General features: G+C 41.0%; 1 protein-coding gene across 12 annotated transcripts in view; it reads right to left on the bottom strand.

The window, feature by feature from the left end:
* Nucleotides 1–24,467, bottom strand: part of CHRDL1 (chordin like 1) — a 121,962-nt gene that overhangs the window by 38,019 nt on the left and 59,476 nt on the right. For 7 of the 12 annotated variants that reach the window (NR_159734.1, NM_001367208.1, NM_001367206.1 and 4 more), the window contains exons 5-6: nt 9,511–9,656; nt 7,961–8,054 (exon numbers count right to left, since the gene is read on the bottom strand). The exons of 1 other annotated variant lie outside the window; for it this stretch is intronic. Coding sequence is in view for 10 of the 11 variants with exons in the window: in NM_001367208.1 (NP_001354137.1) it covers nt 7,961–8,054; nt 9,511–9,656 (240 nt within the window). In the remaining variant the exon portion in view is untranslated. The remainder of the gene's footprint in view (nt 1–7,960; nt 8,055–9,510; nt 9,657–24,467) is intronic. 4 more of the 12 variants (NM_001367207.1, NM_001143982.2, NM_145234.4 and 1 more) reach the window with 1 other exon arrangement.

The raw sequence follows: 24,467 nt of genomic DNA on the forward strand, positions 1-24,467 counted from the left end.
CCTTGAAGGAGTTAGCAGAAATATCAAAATTTCATAAAAAGTGACTTCCATTTTCTCCCTGGGCTCATTTGAGATATGTTGGATGAACGGGCTTGGGTTGAGCAAATTGTAAGTTCCACCATTTCTCCTGCCTCCCTACTGCATCTGTACTTGGAATGCTGTCAAGAGCTTTTTGTGACTGTGGCTCTTTTTGTATTAAATAAACCAGTCAGCATGATATATGATTAATATTATGTTATGCCAGGGGAAACAGGAAGACACAAAGCAATAACAGTGCAAGAATATATTTCTGAATGCTTATTTTTGAACCAGATTAAGTCCTGAAGGTGGTCAAAGAAGATCAATGAGAACTAGAGTGATTGGGCAAAACTATTAGAAGAGGTGCAACTTCAACTGGACCCTTGAAAGATGAGTAGGATGCGAATAGGTAGAAGAGGAGCGGGGGCTATTCCAAGCTTGTGAAAAATAACAGTTTAAGTGAAGCACATAACAGGAGGGAAGGTAGGAAGAAACATAGCATGTAACAGAACAAAGAGATCAGCCAGCCAGCCTAAAGGAGATGTGTGTGTTGGTGTCAGAGAAATGAGGCTGGAAAGTAGGTTAAGGAAGGATCAGACTGTTTCACAGAGGGTCTTTAAAAACAAGCTGAAAAATTCAGATTGGATAATATGGTAAGAAATGGTAGCATGATCAAGTAGTTTCTCAAAAAGAAAATTCCTAGGCTGGGCTCATGTCTGTAATCCCAGCACTTTGGGAGGCCGAGGCAGGAGAATCATTTGTGACCAGGAGTTTGAGACCAACCTGGGCAACATAGCGAGACCATGTCTCTAAAAAAAAAAAAAAATTGGTTGGGCACGGTGGTGCACGCCTGTAGTCCCAGCTACTCAGGAGGCTGAGACAGAAGGGTAGCTTGTAGTTTGAGGCTGCAGTGAGCTATAATTGTGCCAGTGCACTACAGCCTGGATGACAGAGTGAGACCCTGTCTCTGAAAAACAGGAAACAGCCAAAAGAAAGAAGAGTAAAAGAAAATTCCTAGATTAGGGTATTATGTAGCATGTATAATGTAGAAAGAACATTATAGACCCCTACAGCCTGGGGAGGGACTGGATTCATGGTGGGATCAGAAGTTGGGGATCCCAGGAGTGTATGACTGCCACCAGTTATCTCCCTAATTTTTGAGCCAATCTTTCCTCACCCTGGAGTGCAGAGAACAAGGAGGGATGTGGTGCGAGTTGAGGCTGGAGAGACAGTCTCAGAAGTCTTCCTTCACCTCCCTGACTAGGTCAACCCCTCTCAATTATTGGCTTTTATAACAACTTTCCTTTGTGGCATGTGGCACAGTTGCAATTTTATAATTACTTATATCATGACGTGGTGTCTATCTTCCCTACTAAAACTCCATGAAGGCAGGTTCCATGTCCATTTTTGTTCACCATTGTATCTCTAGCACTGGTGCAGTGCCAGGCTCTTAGTGATTGCTTAACAATGTTTGCTGAATGAAAGAAAGTAGACATTTACACTCAAGACACTTTAAGCCTAGAGTGAGAGAAGGGTAAGTTAAGGCCTTGATGGGAAAACATGGGCAGTGTGGTAAGATACTCTCTTAGGAGTATCTGCACACAACAATGTGCCATGCATGTCCCGTCTTCCCCTTTACTCCCCTGTACTAGGAGATATCCTTGTCATACTCCTATGAATGGGTCCCAACAGGTAGTATAGAAGTTAAGAGCTTGAAACTCTGAAGCCAGACTGACCAGGTTAAAATTCTAGCTCTGCCACTTACTACCATTTGTCCTTGGACAAATCACTCAACTTTTCTGCCTTAGCTTCCGCATCTGTAGAATGGGGATATAAATAGTTGCTACTATTTTTGCCAGGATCAAATGAGCTATTCCACACATAAGTGCTTAGAACATTGTCTGGCACATTGTACGTGCTACATTTAGACACCATTTACTAAATGCATACTTGGCTTTCAATACAGTTAATACCTACCCCAAATACCTTTCCCTTGTCTAGAGTCCAAGTACATAGCCTTCCCTGTTGTTTTGGCAAGATGAGCAGGGGACAGGAAGTGGAAATGATCAATGGTGGAGGGAAGCTGGGTGTGGGTTTGGGTTTGAAGCCTGCCTTCCCAGAATGTGGCAGTAGTATAATCTCTGAAGAGATTTAAAAAAAAAAAAACTTTTATTTTAGGTTTGAGGATACCTATGAAAGTCTGTTACATAGGTAAACTCCTGTCATGAGGGTTTGTTGTACAGATTCTTTCCTGCTTCTCTCCCTCCTCTCACCCTCCATCCTCAAGAAGACCCCAGTGTCTGTTACTTCCTTCTTTGTGTTCGTAAGTTCTCATCATTTAGCTCCCACTTATAAGTGAGAACATGCAGTATTTGGGGAAAAAAAAAGACACATGCACGCAAATGTTCATTGCAGCAGTATTCACAATTCTGAAGACACAGAATCAACCTAAATGCCCATCAATGACAGACTGGATAAAGAAAATGTGGTATATATACACCATGGAATACTATGCAGCCATAAAAATGAATGAGAGCATGTCTTTTGCAGGAAGATAGATGGAGTTGGAGGCTATCATCCTTAGCAAACTAACACAGGATCTGAAGAGATTTTTTCTTCTGATAAAATTTCCCTTAAGGTTCCAGTGGCTGTTTGCACTATGCTTCCAGTCCTAATGAGGTTTGCTGAAGTGCTAGCAATGACACACATTCTGCCAACGCTCTCCTTGACTGTCCCAGCCTCAAAGACACGTCTAGCCAATGAAGGCTAGGTCTGAGATTCAATCCGCGTCTAGGATTGCTGTCTGACCCAGGAAGAAAGACACACATTAGTGTTTGGGGACAGTGCAGAGAGGCTATTTCAATGCCCTTTATATGAAGGTTTGCAAGTTCAGCAGTCAAAAGATTATTTCTTCTTCAGTATTTGGCCTGCAGTCAGGGTGGCCAGCATAGGGGAGAGGTTTCTGGGTTCCCTGCTGTATGAGTAATACGCTTATATAAGATACAGTATTGTAAAAACGTCATTTCCATGGGAAAAAATAACTAGGTGCTTCAAAAGTTAGAACTTCAAAGGAGTTTCAACCACATTATATACAGCTGAAAGATGCAAAGAAACTGGAGGCAATGAAAGAACAACAATTTTTACAAAAGTGTAGGATTTAGTCTTTATAAAGGAAGATGAAAGAAAATTGTGCATTTAGGCTGGATGAGAGGTTGCAAAGAAAGAACTTAATGAATTATCAAGTATATAAAGGGACAATACATGGCCAGTAATAACTAGCTTTTATCTGTTGCTTCTGAGGACATAAAAAAGAAAAGAAATTTAAATTGTAACGATAGAACAGTACATAAAATAGCTAGTTCCAGGATCTGTTACCACAAGAAGAACTAGAACTAAAGTTCTGTCTATGGAGATTACATTTTAAAAAGGCAAAACTATCAAAGATAGAGGAGAAGGTGCAATGATACTTAACTCGGGGGTAATAAATATAGTAATTACTATATAAAATATAGTAATTGTTACTTATAAACCAATAACTCTGTATTAGGCCATCTCCTAGCACTCTACGCCATCTCAGTTAATCTACACAACCCATTTCATACGTAGTAAGCATAATCTCCATTTTTACACCTGAGAAAACCAAGGTTTTGAGTGGTTAAATAGTTTGTCCAAGATAACAGCACTCGTAGGTGGTAGCCCTGCAATGTCAAATCTATGACCTTCTGGCTTCAGAGCCTCTGTCCTTTGCATTATACCGTATTGCCCCTAGGTTGCAGTGACATGTCTTTTCACTGTTGCCTTTCCTTTCTATTATCAATTGTTTTCCAGTTTAGATTTCACATATCCTTTTCCCCAAAGGGAATAATATCAGCCTAACAGCTGGATTATAGTGACCAACTGGTTATATTAGCAACCACATGTACACCTCTGCTCAGTATGGACTTTCTTTTGAGCCACACTGAAATTAAGTTGGGGCCAAGACAAGAAAGGAGGTGAGGAACAAAATATCCATCTTTCTTGACTGAAATGTAACAGCTACACTGTAGTACAGACATATACACACACACATTGTGAGAAACATGTATGGAAAGATCCAGGGCCTTACCAAAGCATAAATCAAATTAGGCTGTAACTAAATCCATATTGACTTATGAGGGCTGATGCAAATAGCATATTAAAAGGGATGAGCATACACTGGTAGTCCAAACAAGCTCAGTCCTTCCAAAAAGCAATGTTAACTGTAGTTTCCTAAAGTGGTATAGGGGAAGAAAACAACTTGGAGATCAGGAATGAGACCAAGTAATTTCCTATTGACGAGGAATCAATGTATAGTCAACACCATCTACCACAGTCAATCAGTAATTCAGGGGGAAAAATGCACAACAACCATATTCTTTTTTGGTAGCACCTAATTCAAATCCTGACTAAATTTCTAGTAATCATTCCAATCTAGTGTGCATTCATTTAAAGAGCACCTACTCTGCCTGGCACAGTGGGAGAAATAAAGATAAATGAAAAAGAGTATCTGTCTTGAAGAGCTTATGCATTAATAGGGATGATAATACATGGGCACAAATAATAAAAAACAGAAGTTGACAAGGTGATAAATGCTCCAGAAGAAGCACAGGTTAAGTGCTGAGGAGTCCTAGAGTAGAGACAGGTTTACTTCTAGTTTGCAGGATTTAAAAACATTTCATGGAAGAAGTGGCAATTAGGCTGGATTTTGAAGGATAAGCAGGATTTATGGGTGGAGAAATTAGGGATGGAAGTGGGAAGGCAGAAAAGAAAGGCCTTCCAACTACTACTTATCAAAATGCGACCTGAGGACGGCCTGCAATAGAATCTGAGGAAGCTGCATTTGTGCTAGGTCTTGAAGGACTAGCAGGACTTCCACAGGCAGGGATGGAGAAAAAGAATTTTCCAGAAAGAGGAAACATTTTCTCCATCCAACCTGTACATGTGCAGTTGTTACTTAGACAGCCCTTTTGTCTCCTTTTCATCCCAGTTCCTTATCATGAAATGGCCACCACTCATTCATCTCAAATTGGTTGCCATATGGTCGGACTTAGATGCTTTAACCAATCAGGAACTGAAATTGGTTGCTTTTCCACTGGTTCACTCAGGTTTCAGAATTTTAATGTGCTCAATTTAAGTGCACTAAACTCAGATTTTTTAAAACAAATCCTTGGTTCCAGGTTATCTACATGGTCTCAGGAATGGTTTCTCAAAGTGACAGTCCACAGACCACCATTCTGCATCAGAATGAACGATGGGGTCTGCTTAAATGCAGATTCCTGGGTCCCACTCCAAGGCCACTAAATCAGAATCTCTGCAGGTGTGATCCAGGAATCTGAACTTCAACAAGTTCTCTGAGCAATTCTGAAGCACACTAAAGTGTGAGAAACACTGACAGGAAGAGGACTGAGCAAAGGTAAAAAGGTAAGAGAGCACAGGAACAATGCAGTGGGCCCTGAGGTGCATGAATGGAAGAATATTGACCTATAAAGGTAACTTGAGGTTAGACCATGAAAGGCCTTCACTATCAGAGTCGGGGGTTGACATGTATTTGAGTGGCGACAGGGAGTCATCCCTTTCAGTGGCAGAACACTGTGGTTAGAGCCTGAAATATGGAGCCAGGCTGCCAGGATTCAAATCTTAGCTCCTCAACTCACTAGCTACCTGACCTTGGATAAGATTCTTAACCGCTCTCTGCCTCAGTTTCCTCATCCATAAAACAGGGAGAACAATAGTACTCCTCACATAGGGTTGTCATGAGATTAAGTGAGTTCATATCTGTAAAATGCTTAGTTAGAACTGGGACTGACATATAGTAAGTCCAAATACATGTTGGCATAAAAATTTTTGAACAGGGGTGTAACACGGTGATGGATTGCTTTTTGGAAGATTAAAATGGCAGTAATGTATAGAAGTCACCTACACATCCCCCACCAGCAAATCCTATAATTTTTTTCCTCTAACTCAGTGGTTCACAACCTTAGCTGCATATTGGAATCACATCCTCCTCCTTCTGATCTGGTATAAATCTACCAAGGTAATTCCAATATGCACCCATAGTTGAGAACCACGGCTCCAAATGTATTTCAAATTTGTCCACTTTTAATTATTGGGTCCTCAGTATATACAAGACACTGTGCCAGGTCCTTCTCTTATATTATCTCATTGAAATCTCACAAACATCTTGAAGGTAGGAGCTAACATTATCCTCACTTTAAAGATTGGTAGAAAGGTTGAATAAGGTCATTCAACTACAAAGTAGCAAGGCTGGGATTAGAACCAAGGCAGTTTGGCTCCAAAGGCTCCACTCTGAACCACTACTGTGTTCTCAGTCCAAGCACCCTTTTTCTCACACTGGAAAGAGTACTACCCTAACCATCTTGCTAGTCTCTCCACTTGCATTATTGCCTCCCTCCAGTCTAGTCTGGAAATAATAGCCAGTGAGATCTTTTAATATGTTAATTGGATCACTTCATACTCTTTCTCACAACCTTCCAATAGCTTCCCAATGTATTAAAAATGGAAATCCAAAATCCTTCCCATGGCCTTCAGAATCCTGCATGGTCTAATTCCTAGTTACCTCTTCAGCCTCATCCCATGTCAGTTTCAACCACAATCACTACATTTCAGCTACACTGGTCCTTAGGCTCTTTGAATGCTTTAAGCTCTTCCCTGCCTGGGGCCTTTGAACTTTCTTTTCTCTCTACTTAGAATGTTCTTCTTTGGGATCTTTGCATGGGTGACTTCTTTTTATCTTTCAGGTCTCAGCTTAAATGTCACCTTCTCAGAGAGGCCTTCCTGACAACTCAACCTAAATAAACTACTTATTTTTAATCTCAGTCCTATGTTTATTTTCTGCATAGTACTTGCATTATCTGTATTTCCACGTTTGCTTATTATTTGTCTTTTCTGGTGAGTTCCATAAGAGCAAAGAACATATCTTGGCTGCTATGTATGCTATATATATTGTTGTGTAGGTTGTGTGCTGCAAAAGGATGCCACAGCTACAAAGGTGCTTTCCCTGGGATTTTCTGAAAAATGGCAATAAAGTATCTTATGTAAGGGAATCCTTTTTGTAACTCACATAAAGATGCCATATGGTCTAGCACCACCCTATATATCTACTGTATTTATCAATATAAATACCCCAATTCTAGCACAATGCTGAGCATACAGTAGATGGTCAAAAAATATGTTGACTGGATAGAAGGAAAAAGGACAAAATAAGGATATTGCCAGTGGGAAAGTGGGAAAAGGGAGAGATACAGATAACTGCTGAAAGATTTGGTAATCTGAGAAGAGGTAACAAAGGAGAAATTAAAGGGGATTACACTTGATCCCAGGAACCTAGCGAAAAAACTGGTGCCATTATAAAAAAAATAAAACCTAAAGAAAAAAAGACTAATGTGAGAAGACAATTCAATTTTGAATATAATTTGAGAAAATGCTTTCTGTTTTGCTTTTATTGAGTTTGTCACCATCTTATTATGGGGTTTAAAAAGTATACCTAAATTTGCCCTGCACAGTCTTCAAAATGGCCACATCAATTCCTTGCAAGGTCCATTCTTCCTTCTAAGGCTATGAATGAAAATAGTCTGTGTTTTATGATACAATAATTTAAGGGCCAAGCTAGAAGGGATTAAGGATGGAGAAATAAATATATTCACTTTCACATTTGATGACTCTTTCCCATCCTCCCCTGAAGCACAGCACTCCATCCTGTAGTTTTTTTTTTTTTTTTAAAGGCTGTGGCCTTTAAAATCAATGCTTTATTTATTTTTCCCTTTGTTAATTAAACCACCTTTAAAAACTAAGGCTACCATAAAAATTACCTTTCCCTAGGACATTAGACAGGTATTTTCCTCCTTTCTAAATTCTACTACACAGGATAGCAGCACCCAGGGGTCTTGGGATATAACACACCTACCTCTGCATACCCGGCAGCAGGAATCTGGAACAGAGACTGGGAAGGCACAGGTTAATTTGGGGCAAGTCTTGAGACCACAATACACGTTTCCCTCCTGCCAAGGAGAAACAGAATTAAGATTAGAAGCATCTAGGATAAGTGTAAAGGCTTCACTTAATACCTGAAATAGAGCAGGGACTCAAAACACGGCATGTCCTTCCCCCCAGCTCTCCCATCGTCAGTTCTCGGTACTTCCTACATTTTATTACGCATTATTTTTTTTCTCCTACAATTCCTCCATGCCAGAGACTAAGCCACAGAAAAGTTAGCAATCCTAGTCGAGCATCATGGTCTAAGGTGGTACAAAGTAGTCTGTCAGGGATGCCATGAGCCTCTGAACCATGAATTATAGTCTTGTTTCTTTCTTCTCTGTTCATGGTACCCTTGGTCCCCCAGCTGGATTGGGGGTTTAAAGGAATGAAGATTTATTTCATAGCTTCCATTTGTAATATTCACTAGACTCTCCCTTCCAAACCAAAGGAACAAGCTCTCTGGGGTAATACAAAACTATACAAGATGATCTGATGGCCACAGCTCAGTCTAGCACAAGGCAAGGGAGAGGATAAAATTTACTTGCTGGTTACATCTGTCTTTGCAATAATCCTGATTTCCTAAATTTCTATCTTTCAAATGTTATTCCTTAAACCTTGTTCTTAGTTCTTAGAAGCACATTCTTTTGGGGCTAGAATGATTCCTGGAAGGCCATTAAGAAAGCAAGGCCACACGAAAATTCTCCTAAACTACTGAGATACTATATTCTTACTAAAAGTCCTAAAGGGAAGAGATTCTATAGCTTCCCTTGACAATCCAGTGCTTAATGCCACTTGCAGGCAGAAAAGTTGTTACTACATCTAACTTCATTCCTTCCTGCTTCAGTTTAAACACTCATTTTACTCCATTTTCTAGTTCTATTGATTATATTCTCCGGACTGCATATTAGATAAGATGTAATTAGTATACGTTGTTTGTAAAGTAAATGCAGTTCTTCTGACAAGTAATGTCCTGGTAGTCATCATGACCAAGCATTTATAGAGAGTTTTCTCATTGCAGGGCACTAGGAATTAACTGGTTAGTAAAATACTTCAGATATGGGAACTAACAGACAACTCATTTTCTTGTTAATTGGAGTGAGTGGCCCTAGATAGTCAAAGTGACTTTTCCACCCATAGCATTCCCAAAGCTTCAAATAATTGTGAGTCCTTCAGATGGAGGCTTTGGTGGTATAATTATTATGAAAAGGAGCGCCGATCAACACAAACAGCTCACCTTTGCCCATTTAAGCAGTCCTACAGCTTTAAGACTGGGATATGATTGGGCCTGAGCCCTTCAACAGAGTTGTTCAGGGTGGGTGAAGATCAGGGAGTTTGGATTGTCAAGGAGGCTTATGATTTAATGCAAGTCATGTTTTATTCAAACACCTTACAGTGCAGGCACAAATGAAAGTACAAGTACAGAGGAAGCTCTTGTATTTGAGTAGGGCCTAGCAGGAATGTTAAGATGTAGGGTCTTACCGAACAGCTGCACTGGGTGCATTGATTGGGTTGCCGATTCTGAAAGAGCCCTTCAGCTACGAACAGCTCTCCATGTTGGTAAGTTGTCCCATTGTACTCGCAAGACTTGCTGGTCACCTTATTGTTCACTGGGGGTAAGGAGTCTTCTAGAACAGGGTGGAGAAAAACCACACTGAGTATTGGCATCATTGACAAGAATTTCATAAATCCCAACAGCAGACGGGGCTGTACTACATAGAGGGAGTTTTAAGACAGTCCCCGCTCCAGTGACCAATGATTTTGAATAATGTTAAAACAGCCAGACAAGTACAGCAGCTGACATTATGATCTATCCATCCATCCATCCATCCATCCGTCCATCCATCCATCCATCCATTCTTTTATTTGTTGACCATTTACTGAGCACCTACTATGTGCCAGGAATTGTAATATGTGTTAGAGAGGGATCAGAGAACATGGACAAGGTCCCTGCCTAGATGGAGCTAATATTCCTAGATGAATAAGATATTATCTTTCCTGAAAGGAAGGAGTCCATGCTATCTCATTTAATCTTTTCCCCCAGTTGCTTCAGAAGGGGACCCATCTATTATACTGCCCTGGTAACTTTATTCCCTCCCACATTTATTTATTTAGAGACTGAGTCTCACTCTGTTGCCCAGGCTGGAGTGCATGGTGCGAGCTCTGCTCACTGCAACCTCTGCCTCCTGGGTTCAAGCAATTCTCGTGCCTCAGCCTCCCAAGTAGCTGGGACTACAGGCGCCTGCCACCACGCCTGGCTATTTTTTTTTTTTAAGTAGAGATGGGGTTTCACCATGTTGACCAGGCTGCTCTCAAACTCCTGACCTCAATTGATCCGCCTGCCCCATCTTCCCAAAGTGCTGGGATTACAGGCGTGAGCCATGGCGCCCGGCCACCGCCTACATTTTAAATCACTTTTGTGCTTATCTGTTTGTTCCAGCCTCTGTGGTTTTGCTTTTTTTTAATCCCTCCACCGAGACTGCCCACTCCCTGACTCTTTTCCACCCATTGAGGTCCTATCTGATCTTGAAGGTTCAGCTTATGCCGCCTTTCCTCCACGAAGCATTCTCTAAATAACTCCAGCCACAATCTGGATCTCTCAAGGCATCTAATGTCTGAAGCACACAATATGACATTTGAATATTATTGAAACTCATATTTGTGAATTATAGTAACCCAGCAGACCATTTACAAAGAGATTTCACATATATTATTACAATGGAGCTTCATAACAACCCTGTGAATCAAGTAGGGTAAATTCTTACCTTCATTTTCATTTGAGGGAAATAGGATTGCTGAGGTTATGTGAATTATTTGAAGTCACAAAGCTAGTGAGTGGTGAAAAAAGGAATTGAAACCAACAAAAGATACAACCAGAGCTTGGAAAGTGCCTGCCATAAGACAGTGGAAGGAGAGAAATCAGGGGAGCTGTGTGTTTCATTAGGGAGAGGCTTAGAGAGTTGAACCATCCTTTCTTTTCCATCAGTCAAAACTGTAATGAATATGAGTCTATTTTGTGGTGGGTAAGTTATACCTCAATACAACTGTTTAAAAAAAAACAGAATGGGCCAGGCGCGGTGGCTCATGCCTGTAATCCCAGCACTTTGGGAGGCCGAGGCGGGCGGATCACGAGGTCAGGAGATTGAGACCATCCTGGCTAACACAGTGAAACCCCGTCTCTACTAAAAAATACAAAAAATTAGCCAGGCATGGTGGCGAGTGCCTGCAGTCCCAGCTAATCGGGAGGCTGAGGCAGGAGAATGGCGTGAACTCGGGAGACAGAGCTTGCAGTGAGCCGTGATCACGCCACTGCACTCCAGCCTGGGCGACAGAGCGAGACTCCATCTCAAAAAACAAACAAACAGACAAACAAACAAACAAGCAAAAAGAATGAAATTATTCTCAGTATGTAGTGAAAATGATAAGGCTAACAATAATAACATCCATAATAATAATAATAATACACGAATAGATACCATTTATCAAGCCCTAGCTATGTGCCAGGCAGGAATGAGTGCTTTTACATACATAATCTCATTGGCTCTTACTAATAATGTTCTGATGTAGACATGATTATGCCCATTTTGCAGATGAAGAAACTAAGGCTTAAGAGATTGACTTGCCCAAGGTGACACAACTTGCAAGTGGCAGCACTAAGATATAACTTGATGTCTGACTGATTCTAGAACCTTCCCTCATAACCACTATCAAAAAAAGTGCCAATCACTTCAAACCTATAATAAGGAAGGGACCATTTAATTAAAAACCAAAACCCAAACCACTAGAACATGAAGGCTATGCTGTCCCTAATGTTGTGGCCTAAAATACCCAGAAAACAGACAATGCACTTCTTTTGGCTTCAGCGATTTGGGTAACTAACTCAATTCTATACTTTGCTATATAAGTCGATCTAACATCAATTTCTGAGTAATTCACTCTCAGGGTGTTAACTACTTATTAATGACCCTTTAGAGGATATAAAGAAAGTTCCTTACTTTTGCCTTATAAAGACAGCCTTAGCTCCTAGAAAGAGTTTAACTCATACTAATTAACTCTGTCTGGGCTAAGAGGCCCTGCCCCTGCCCACAAGCGTATACAATCAGACAGCTGCAGCTGGCAGACATGAGTGAAACCCATCAGAGAAAGGACAGAAGCAGGCCCATTTGCCCCCTGGGCTCTAATTATTCCAAATCTCAGCATTTTGTGGTGAAGGAAATCTACAGTGACCTACAAAATAATATTTGTCACGGCTCTTATGGGAGCTGGCAGATGTTTGGAATACCAAACAAACAACAACAACAAAAAAGAAGTTTGGAATTATTTTGCCTCAAAAGAATGTGGCTTGATTTTTGAACCGGGCCTTCTACCAAGGAATCAATGGCAAGGCAACTGCAGGGTGAGATTTTCCAGTGGAAGAATGATCTTGAGAATCTTCCTTGCAATAGTCTTCTGAGTAACCTGGCACTGGAGTCTATTATTCTACTCAACAGGAGATAGGGAGAAAGAGAAAGAGAGGAAGACACAGTAGAATCAAAGAAAAAGAAACCAATTATGGTCATGCTTAAGGCTAGTTTTATGCAATAAAATTCTTAACATCTCATTCTTATTTCATTCTTGCAACACCCTTAATGGTGTGTATCTCGGGGGTGGGGGGCGAATTACTGAAAATGAGGCTACTAGTACTCCAAAAGATTTGTCCCATGTCACACAGCTGTTTAACAAGAGAGCCAACTCAGAAATATAGCTTTCCTGCTTTCAAATTTGTGCTCTTCACAGAATGGGTGTTAAAGCTTCAGAGCAGGATCACTGAGTCACAATCCCAACTCAATGGTACTGACTCCCCACAATCTTGTACAAGGCACTTTACCTCTTTAAGCTTCAATATTTCTAGGAATGCGATATGGACTCAAATCTCCCCTTGCATCTTTAGAGGGCCAACACAGCATGCTTCCTAACTGCAGAAGGAAGAAAAACCACCTCATATTTTACCTTCTCCTCTCCCAGATTTTCCAAGGTGGCTGGGCTAGTAAACAAATATCCTTGGAACACATTCAGTGTTCCTGACTGAAAACTAGCAGAAAATCAGTTCAAAGCAAAGCTGGCTACAGGGCCCCTCAGGGAATGCTACAATAGGAATGACCAGGCTGCGTGGCTTCTAACCTCCCCCATCTCTTCTGTTTCCAGTCAAATTCCCACCTAGCACTAAGAGGAGGACTGGAGAAAAAACCATTGTAGGGTGAGCAGACAAGCACTAAGTCATGTGACCACAGATGTGTTGGGAAAGAGGAGGTTTCTTCTCCCCAAGTGAGGGATGATCTCATATGTAAGCAGAACTATGATTTCCGGGATGCTCAGAAAATACCCCCTTATCCCAAATGTCTCTTACCACCTTTTCTCACACTGATGCTTAAAATGCCACTATTGGAAGTCCATTCCTCTAGGTTAAATGGCTACCTTTTGCAATCAGATTTTGTAATCCCAAGAATTATATGAGAGGGTACACTTACACCTTGTCACTAACTAACACCTCAGTCTGAATAACTGCCACAGGCCTTTTTTTTTTTGTCCTTCAGAGCAACTGGCAAATTTTACCAAGAAGCCTGTGGTTCCACTTCACTTCTTTTTGTACGCCTTCCCTCCTCTCCTGGTGTTACCCTTCTTCCCACACTCTGGAACCAAGTCCTCATGCTGACTGCTCTCTTCCCCACTCTCCCCACCCTATAAAATGATCATTTCCATAGTAGGACAGTTCTTGGATAGTCAGAAAAGCAGCTTGTATGTCAGGAGACAAATCTGCTCCCAGTGTTATAAATACAAACCTCCCCAGAGCTTTCAGAGATCAGTTGCTAATCTCCTTGACGCCAAGCCATCTTTTCTTTTGCCATTGCTGCCATTACTTTGGTTCCTACTTTTCTTCTGATGGCTGAGCCTGATGCTAGCATTTCTTTGGTTCTCTGTCATTCTACTGATAGAGTCCTAGAACATTTGCAGGCTATTGGGAGGTGGCTGGAGAAGGGACATGGAAATGAAGGTAAAGACTAGAAAGAAGAGGTTATAGTCCCTTTAATTGCCCATGACACACAGAGAGACATACACATCCAACAAAGTAAAACTACATCATCTAAAGGGCTTTACCCCAAGTCTCAGAAATATATGGGAAGAGAGAATGACAAAAAGGCCTTGAAAGAAACCCCTAGAATAGGATGCTGTTTCTATGTGCGTATCTCACAGTGATGCAAGAGAAGATAACTGAGCCTGGTCTCTGGGGTCTGCAAACATTGGTCTCTGGGGTCCCAGCTGCTATGATCTGAATATTTGTGTGCCTCTGAAATTCATATGTTGAAATCGTAACCCCCAAGGTGATGGCTTTTAGGAGATGGGGCCTTTGGGAGGTGATTAAGTTATAAGGGCAACATCCTCATGAATGAGATTAGTGCTTTTAATAGAAGAGGCCTGTGGGAGCTTGTTCGCCCCTTCTACTATATAGGCTCACAGGGAGAAGGTATCATCACTGAACCAGAAGCCAAGCCCTCACCAGAGAACAAATCTGATGGTACCTTGATCTTGGATTTCCACCTTCCAGAACTGTGAGAAATAAATTTCTGTTGTTTATAAGCTACTCAGTTTGTGGTGTTTTGTTATACCAGTTCAAACAGACTAAGACACCAGCTTTGGCATGTCTTGGTTCTGTGATCTTAGGAAGGCTTGAGTATGCCTTCTACTTTACGTGGCTGTGAGGTTCAGCGATAATTAATTTTAAAAAGCCCAAAGGTATCTGGTACATAACATTCACAATAAATGGTAGATGATCTTGCTCTAGAAAGAGGTCACAGAGAGGAAAGCAGTAAAGTTGAAGAATATGAAGGAATTTTCCCAATTTCCATAGATGATAACTAACTGAAAGGCATTTGCTTTGCACTGATGTGTATGGTAGGTGCTATGGAGACATGAGTCAAAACACTATTTCTCTCTTGTTTTCTTATTCATTCAACAAGCACTTGTGGAGGTCTTTGACTATACCTGGCACTAATAGATCCTTGACTATACATTGACAATACCTGGCATTATGTTACCTTAAAGCTACAAAGATAAATAGGACATTCCCCTGACTTCAAGTAAAATCCTGCTTTCATTGGAGGGGAAGGCACAAAAAGGTGTTAAATGATAATGTATTTAAATAACACATAAAGGTTCATAATGGAAGAGAGGTCAAATAATCACAAATTGCCAATGTTAAGTGGGGAGGAGTATCAACTGCATCAATAAGGATTCAGGTTAGATACTAAAAAAGATTCCTTGCTGAAAGAGTTATTAGAAACTGGAACCACAGGCCAACTAGGCATGTAGGGAAATTATTTTCAAACTAGGTTCTGTGCTGCTTTAGGATTCTTCAGAGGTACTTGAGGGATGTGAAAAAAAAAATCCCTTCCCCATTTCTACTTCAACAGAATACCTCTTACTTTGTTAGTGAAATGTGTTTTTATTAGCTTTTTTAAATTTCATTTGAAGAAAGAGTTTGCTGCCATAAGACACTGTAAAACACTGGAATAGAATCTCTTCACATATTTGCTGTTTGGGGATTAAAATCCTATTTGTCCCTAATATATAAAGAGCTTCTATAAATTGACAAGAAACAGATTCATAACCCAATGGTAAAAATGGAAAAAGGATATAAATAGACAGTTGACAGAAATGGAACTACAAGTGGCCCTTAGACATGAAAAAATCAACCTCATTCATTAGAGAAATATAAATTAAAACTGCAATGAAATACCATTTTTCTTAGCAGATTTAGAAAAATCCAAAAGTTTGAATAAAACACTCTCTTGGTAAGTCTGTGAAGACTTGATTAAAACATGATGAAGGGCAATTTAGCAATATCTGTTCATTTAAAAATACATATATATTTGACCCAACAATCCTATTTTTAAGAATTCATTCTACAGATATACTTGCACATGTGTGAAACATATAAAAATTATTCATTGCAGCATTGTTTGTAATGGCTGAATATGGAAACAACTTCTATGTCCATTGATAGAAATCTGGTTAAATAAATGATGGCTCATTATTATAACAAAATATTATGTAGTTCTATAAAAGAATAAGTTCTCTGTGCACTAATACAGAAAGATATATTATTAAATGATGAAAACAAGGGGTAAAATGATGTGCACAATAGACTACCTTTTATGTAAATGAAAAAATATTTTTAAAATATATATATATATTCATATTTGCTTACATTTTCATAAAAATCTGGAAAGATATATAACCACTAAAAGTTATGGGGGGGAACTACATGTTGTAGGGAGAAGATAAGAATTGGGTGAGTGTGGGACGGGGTGAATAAGATATTCTATTGCATTCTTTTATATGTATACCTAGATATATAATCATATATACATGTACATATACATATGCATTCATATTCTTGAATGATATAAATGTATTCCTCATTAAATTTGAAGACTACGTTTGAAAAAACTTCTACTTGAAGGCCGTAGACTAGACTAGGTGAACATTTTGGGTCCATTCCAACCATAGAAAATCAATCCTACAAAGCTGGTCATCAGAAGCCCGGCTGTATTCCTACTAGTGGGAGAGATCCTAGCTATGACTTTGTGTTCCCAGTCTTATTCCAATAATGGGTTCTCTCCACCGACATCATTGAGCCCGTCCATCTGGGCAAAGTGGAGGTTGTTACATTGCTTTCTTAAACAATGTTAAAGTAATTGTGTAAATCTGAGCTGGCTTTTAGTCCTTGGCCCAAATGGAAGGAACATAGACAAATAAGGTTGCTAGTGGGAAATCACCCATGGCCTTCTACCAGAGCACTGCTGTAATGGAGGGAGGAGCAGCTGGGAGCTAGCTGCATCTCAGTCAGGCAAAGTAAGAGCATACATCCAGGATGCAACACATCTTGCAGGATGAATGTATCAAAAACAGTGGGCTGGGCACAGTGGCTCACACCTCTAATCCCAGCACTTTGGGAGGCGACGGCAGTGGATCACCTGAGGTCAGGAGTCCAAGTCCAGCCTAGTCAACATGGTGAAACCCCGTTTCTACAAAAAATTAGCCAGGCGTGGTGGCGGGAGCCTGTTATCCCAGCTACTCTGGAGGCTGAGGCAGGAGAATCGCTTGAACCTGGGAGGTGGAAGTTGCAGTGAGCTGAGCTTGCGCCACTGCACTCCAGCCTGGGCAACAAGAGCAAATCTCTATCTCAAAACAAAAACAAAAACAAAGAAGAGTGGGTGTCTGCAGCCTCCCCCCACCTCCAAAAAGTAACAATGCTCATATTCTGAGGCTATGTGGATTCAGACGACATTTTCCTTGGGATGCTCCCTGAGATCAGAGGTACTGCTTCAAATGGGCCCATCAGTTGAATCAATGATGCCTACCTTTAGATTTCTTTTTTTTTTTCAGCACTTCAACTGCCATCACTTCTTTTTCCCCTGGGCCTCTTGATGTGATGACTTAACTAGATCTGCTTTCCTCGGGTAGAGTCCAACGATTTCTAGATTTTCCCCAAACTCTCCTCCCCCATAAGAACTTAACTCTCCTGTGGCCCATCACATTGAGGTCATGCTGGCAGGCCTTAATACTAATCCCGTTAAGTAATTCATACTGAAATGAAAATGGTAGATAATGTTTTAAAACAGGGTCCTTTTCTAGATAATTATATTGTAACATAGGCCTTTGATGTTTTATTCATAATGAGGCTGTAGAGCACCGGGTAAAGAGTGTGAAACTTTCTAGAACTTAAGACCTGAATGAGGGAACTTGCTAAAAATGCAGCTTCCAAGACCTGTCCTAGGGAGAGGAGAAGCCTTACTTCAGAGTGTCCCATTTGGATTCAAATTAAAGCTCCATTGCTAATTATTGCTTATTAGCTGAGCAAATTCTTAGCATCTCTGAGTCTCAGTTTCTCCATCTATAAAATTGGGATGATAATGGTACCTACCCCATAGGTTGTTGGGATGATCAAACAAGGTAAGACATAATCTGTTCAGCATAGTACCAGGAACATATTAATGCCCAATAAATGCAATTGTTGTTCTTTTACTACTAGCTATAAATGATAGGGTTTCTGGAGGGCAGAAAGCAGGCTGGTAGGGAAAGAGATGTGGGGCTACTTAACCCTTACAGTGGCCATCCTCTTACCACACTGGCAGACCCTGCCTCTGTATAAGGCTTATGCTGAACTCCAAAGTAGCAGTGACATTTACTTTTCAATCAGTATTATATACTGTAAATTTTAGAAATTCTCAACACCTGTAATGTAATGACAAGGTTTGTTTTTACCCCTGTGCAGTCTTTCACAGCCCTGTAGAACTTCTCAAAAACTGTCAGATCCCAAGTGGTAACTAGAGATTCACTTCTGAGCCATCACATCCACTAAGAATCCTTTTATGCCCCAGCTCCTGGGCAAACACTATCTGCCCCATTTTCCCATCTCAGTGGGAAGACCGTCAGGTGTGATTTAGCCAAGCAGTTGCTTTCTAGCCAGAGCCATTTACCAAGCACATAGACTCTACTTTGGACTTATTGAGCACCCCAGACAGGTGGATTTACGCTCAGAAGGGTCACAAATGTATTTGTGATTATGAGTAGTCCTAAAGGGCATGGAATAGAGAGAAAAAGTGAACTCCTTGGCCAACACTCCCATTGTATTTTATTTTATTATTATTATTTTTAGAGTTGGGGTCTCACTCTGTTGCCCAGGCTGGAGTGCAGTGGTGTGATCATGGCTCACTGCAGCCTCAAAGTCCTGGGATCAACTGATCTTCTTGCCTCAGCCTCCTGAGGTGCTAGGATTACAGGCTTGAACTGCCATGGCTCCCACCGTATTTTAACCATCATTTCCAGTGTCCTCTCCTGCAACATGTTTTCCAGAATTGCTAAACAAAAGTAATTGTTGATTGGTTTGACTTTCATCTTTGTTTTAGGTCACTACTGAAGGTGCTTTTCAGAAAGGATTTAATATTTTTTAGTTTAGGAAGCCTCTCCATTTCCCCCTTCATACATCCTTTGGCCTCCCACCCTTCGTTGCCCAGCTCTTGTCTTGCCTTTTCAAGAAAACTTCACTTGATTACTTCTGCACTTGATGGTCTCTTTGTGGGAAGGGAAAGCAATCAATAGAGCAGATTGCTTCTGCGATGGTAGAGCTTCCAAAGGTGGCAAGTTCACCATGTCCCTAAACTCTCTTCCTCTCCACCCTGCCAGAATGCCTGATATGCCCCCAGATTCAATCATTAGTTAGAGAAGGGCCCTATCTTTCCCAGAGGTTTAATATCTTCACAGTGATGAATACACAAGACTGGAACTATTCCCCAGTAAAGAGAAAGGCGCTATTGGGGGGAATCCTACAATGAGATACCATTTCACATCCACTAGGATGGCTATAATAAAAAAGACAATAATAACAAGGGTTAGCAAGTAGGTGGAGAAATTGGAACCCTTATACAGTGCTGGTGAGAATGTAAAAAAAAATAATAATAGTACAGCTGCTTTGGAAGATAATCTAGCAGTCTCTCAAAAAGTTGAGCATAGAGTTACCAATATAAGCCACCAATTCCACTCCCAGGTATATACACAAAAAAATTGAAAGAAGGAACTGAAACAGATATGTGTATATGAAAGTTTATAGCAGCATTATTCATAATAGTTAAAAGATGGAAACAATGCAAATGTCCATCAGTAGATGAATGGATGAACAAAATATGGTATATCCATAAAATGTAATATTATTGCTATAATGGATGAAACTTGAAAAATTCTGCTAAGTGAAAAAAAAGGCCAGTGACAAAACACCACATACTGTATAATTCCATTTACATTAAATGTCCAAAATAGGCAAATCCATAGAGAGAGAAAGAAGAACACTGGATGCCAGGAGCTGGGGGAAGGGGAGAATGGGAGTGACTACTAGTAGGTATGGGATTCTTTTAGAGATGACGAAAATATTCTGGAGTTAGATAGTGGTGATGGATGCAACATCTTGTAAATATACTAAAACCAACTTTACAACATAAAAGGGTGAATTTTACAGTATGTAAACCTCAGTATGAGGTATGTATACCTCAATAAAGCGTTACCAAAAAAAAAAAATAACCTCCAAACGTTATACAATACAAACACAAAGACTGGGTATCAGAGCGGAGCGGGCCTGAAAAAAATGAAGGTGTTTTGTAGGTGATAGGCAGTTGAAGAAGAGAAAGGTAAATTAAAAAGAAAGGGAGAATCACAAATGGGTAGAGGGAGTCAATCTCAAGTCATAATTTTGCCTAGTGTCCCCAGCCGTGGTGTATCCACTTTGGGAGATGGAGTGGGTCAGCCAGACAGCTCAGCTAAAGGAGGGGGTGATGGGGGGAAGATTTTCCTGCTTGAAAGCTTCCAGGAGACTCTGTGGGACCACACCTTCAACAAGACTAGTGGCCTCCCTACTTCTACCCTTGGCCCAACCCCCAGTGAGGTCCCAGGCCAGGAAATTCTTGTAGCAGATTCAACAGATCACTCTGCAGCTAAACAGACAGACACAACACTCTGTCCCAACCAAGAAGGTGCCGAGTGAGAGGAAACAGTCATCTGCTGCTCCAGCTGGCGAGAAGAGAGTGGAAGAGGGCGCTGAAAGCTCACATCCTAGTCTAATCCCAGCTCTCCCCCTCCTCATCCGGACCCCATCTGCAGGCTGTTTTTCATCCCACTTCCGTCAGTGTTTCAGCTGCTGTCAGTCAGTAGCTGACCCTGCCTGAATATGCCGTCTTGTCAGACAGATGGCTAGGAAGGATGGCTTGAGGAGAGAGTGTGCAAGAAAGGGCCATGTCTCTGTGAAGCAAAGAGTGCTTGCAAATGGCATAGATTTGGGGGTTTTTTGGGGGGCAGGGGGAGGGCCCATGTATTCTTAGCTAAGTTGTACTATTTGTTTGCTGTGTGATGGAACTGCTATCACTTTGCATCTCTAGGCTTCAGTTTCTAAAGAACTTTCTGTGTGGATATGTGTATGTGTGTGTCAGAGGTAATCATTTCACCTGCTTCTCTTTCACAGGGATATATTATAAAGAACAAAAATGATTATGTTTTTCAAAAAGATTCAGGGAGTAAAGAAGCAACATACAACAAAGTCAACTGATTATGATTATCTCCCTGCTTACCAAATGCATTCTACCTGAAGGCAAAAAGAGATGTATAATTTTGTCTGCTTTGATGGTCCAGTGTCCAGAGTTACTACATCCCATAGAAGTTAGAAAAGTCCCTTCAGCTTGTGATGTGCTGCCTTATAGGTAGCAACTCTAGTCTTGCAGTGTCAGTCAACTGCTTGTGAGTAAGCACACCCCAAAGACTGGAGTTCCATGTACGGACCCACACCACAGCATGGCCCAGCCAGGGTCATGAAGTTCATGTCAAAGATGTATCCCCTGAGGATGTGCCACTTGGCTAAAGAATGCTCTACCTCTGATTGGCCAATTCTGCCCTGACTCATGCTAGCCCCAACTGCCCCCACAGACTACTCTTTGCTTACTCATATCCAGCCCCCAGGGCCCATCAAACACACTCTGATTTTCTGCAGCAACTCTCATGGTCTGCCTGTTTGCATCCTACCATCTAGCACCTAATATAAAGTGTGCCGCTTTTTAAGTGATCAATAAGTGCAAAGGAGACAGGGTCTATGCCTTCTACTTCTCTATCTCCTGCTGGCTCTAGCATTAGAACACAGCATGCTGGCTGGGCGCAGTGGCTCATGACTGTAATCCCAGCACTTTGGGAGGCTGAGGTGGGTGGATCACCTGAGGTCAGGAGTTCGAGACCAGCCTGGCCAACATGGTGAAACCCTGTCTCTACTAAAAATATAAAAATTAGCCTGGTGTAGTGGCAGGTGCCTGTAATCCCAGCTAGTCAGGAGGCTAAGGCAGGATCATTGGTTGAGCCCAGGAGGCGGAGGTTGCATTGAGCCGAGATTGCACTGCTGCAGTGCACAGCCTGTGCTGTAGATCGCACAGCCTGGGCAACAAGAGCAAAACTCTGTCTCAAAAAAAAAAAAAAAAAAAAAAAAAAGGAACAGAGCATGGCAAGAAGGAACAAATATTCAAATAGTGATACATGCTAATTTTAAGAGTCTGGTATTAATTTCATTAACATATAAATATGCATATCTAGAGGCAAGGTGATTCTTCATTTAAGGGCAGATAGCTGGAGAGAAATAAGTATGATTTTCAAAAGTGATTCAGAAGTGAGTTACAGAATCGATTTCTTCTGGGAAAAGGGTCTGTGGGTTCAATCAGATTCTCAGGATTTCATGACCCAAAAGAAGTACCCTCTCTATTGCCATACAAAGCAGGGGGGCTGAGGATTTCACTTCAGCAGTATGAGATCTCTGCAAACAACTCTGTCCAGATTCTGTGGCTCTAAGGTTATGCACACTTGTTTTCAGCTTTCTGTGTGCTGAGAGTACTTACTTGTGGAAGTTTCTCATAATCCAGTCTTCAGAGGCAACCTCTATGTTCTTTCCTGTCAAAATTTCTTCTTCCACTTTACTGAACAGCTTTATCATCAGCTCCATTATTCAGCTCATGGACCATTCCAATCTCATTACATAAGCCTCCTAGGGTTCTATCTCCAAGAGGAAACTGGAAATGGCCTTCTCTTTTGACAGGTGGAAATGAGGCCCAGAGATGCCAAGGGGACACTGCTATTTAGTGCCAAAGCAAAGATTCAAATTTAGGTCTCTTCATTTTACCTAGAGCAGCAAAACGTGAGGGCTAGAGAAGCCCACTAAAATCCAGTCTAATAATTGCGGAAGATAAAACACAAATCCCTCTGTTTTCAGAGGCTAATTCCTCAACCTCAAATCTTCATGTGAACTTGGATTATGTAGCCCAACAAAAAGAATCCCTTCCATGGTGAATCTGATAGATTTGTATTATTCCTTTGCTACTGTACTATGGGTTTTAAAAACCTCTAATTACCAGGAGGTGTAATGTTAAATCAATGATTCTTCACGATGCCTCATTGTTAATAACAGGTTATGTGGTAATGTTGTCACTCACTGCCTTCCTCTTCTCCCTGAATAAATTAAGAATGAGTTCTACTATTACTTGGTTAGTTCTAATCCTTTGAGAACTAGATTTTTTTTTGAAGGTCAATGACCCTTTGAAATGGACAAATTAGTCATTACCCTCAAGCAGCATTTACAGAAACAATGTGAGGCATCTGGATGAGACAGTGGGGAGTTCAGTCAAGCATTCCTTTGTATTGCCTACACCAGCATTTCCCAAGTCTGCTCTGCAGAGCACTACTAGTCCACAAGATGCTCTGTGAAAACAAAATTCTGTGCTTAAATAAAGTTGGGAAAAGATCCACATTCAACATTCAGTGTCCCTTTCAATATGTTAAAAGGATCTCACAAGTCCCATAGTAAAGAAACCTGTTTAATGATAACTCAGCATTTTCTCTGACTTTACTTATCCACCAGACTCTTTTTTTCACCTAGGTAACAACTATGAATGCCCCAGAAACACTCCTTGGAAAGCACTGCCCTGCACCACATCAAAACCTAGATATTTTGAGGATCTGGATATTCGCCATCTCATGGACACTATTATCTGCTGAATCCAGAACCGCACTCCCAACTTCAGTCACACTCAACCTTCAGCTAAGACCTAACACGTTACTCCTAGATGGCTGATAGCATCTCCAGTATCTTTTCTTTCATTAGCAAGCCCTATAAATCAAGAGAAAATGCTCCCCTGTGAAATACTGTATAGTGCTAATAACCAGAACCACTTGCAACAACAGCCCAATGACATCAGGCACCTGGAGACACAAAGAAGTCAAGTCCAGGGGGTGGTATTTTTCCTGTATATGATGAGAAGCCAGGGAAGTTATTTAAGTAGTGAAATGATTTGATGAGATTTACATTTTTGAAAAACTATTCTGAGATGACTGGAAAAGAGATAATGAGCTCGGGGACAGGATATGTCAGGAGGTGACTGAAAGAGCCCATTGCTATCACATTAGGCATAAAGGAAGAAAAGAGGCATTTGGTACTTGAAGATTAATTGAGAAAAGTTATCCCCCAATGCACATATTATTTTGTTTGGAAAACTGTTAGCAGCTGGCTTCAGAAAGTGGTCCCTGGAGGCCACTGGCAGAGGGTGCAAGGAAAGTGGTGGCACACAAGGCTCCAGGCTGCTGGAGCAGTGGGAACGCTGTTAGGAAAATCCAGTCTACCTCTTCCTGACGACCAAGGAGGCAGCTCATCTGCCATGTCATGGAACTACTAGAGGAAAAGACAAAGTATCATTTTGCTTCTCCTAGGAAATTCTTTAAGAACCCAGACCAAAATTCCTGATGTGGGGAGAGTTATTTAGTTAAGACTACACAATACACAGAAAGGAAAGGGAAGGTGTTAGGAAATCTGGATTCTAAAGAACTCCACC

Source organism: Homo sapiens, chromosome X (assembly GCF_000001405.40).
Source record: "Homo sapiens chromosome X, GRCh38.p14 Primary Assembly".
NCBI classification, from domain to species: Eukaryota; Metazoa; Chordata; class Mammalia; order Primates; family Hominidae; genus Homo; species Homo sapiens.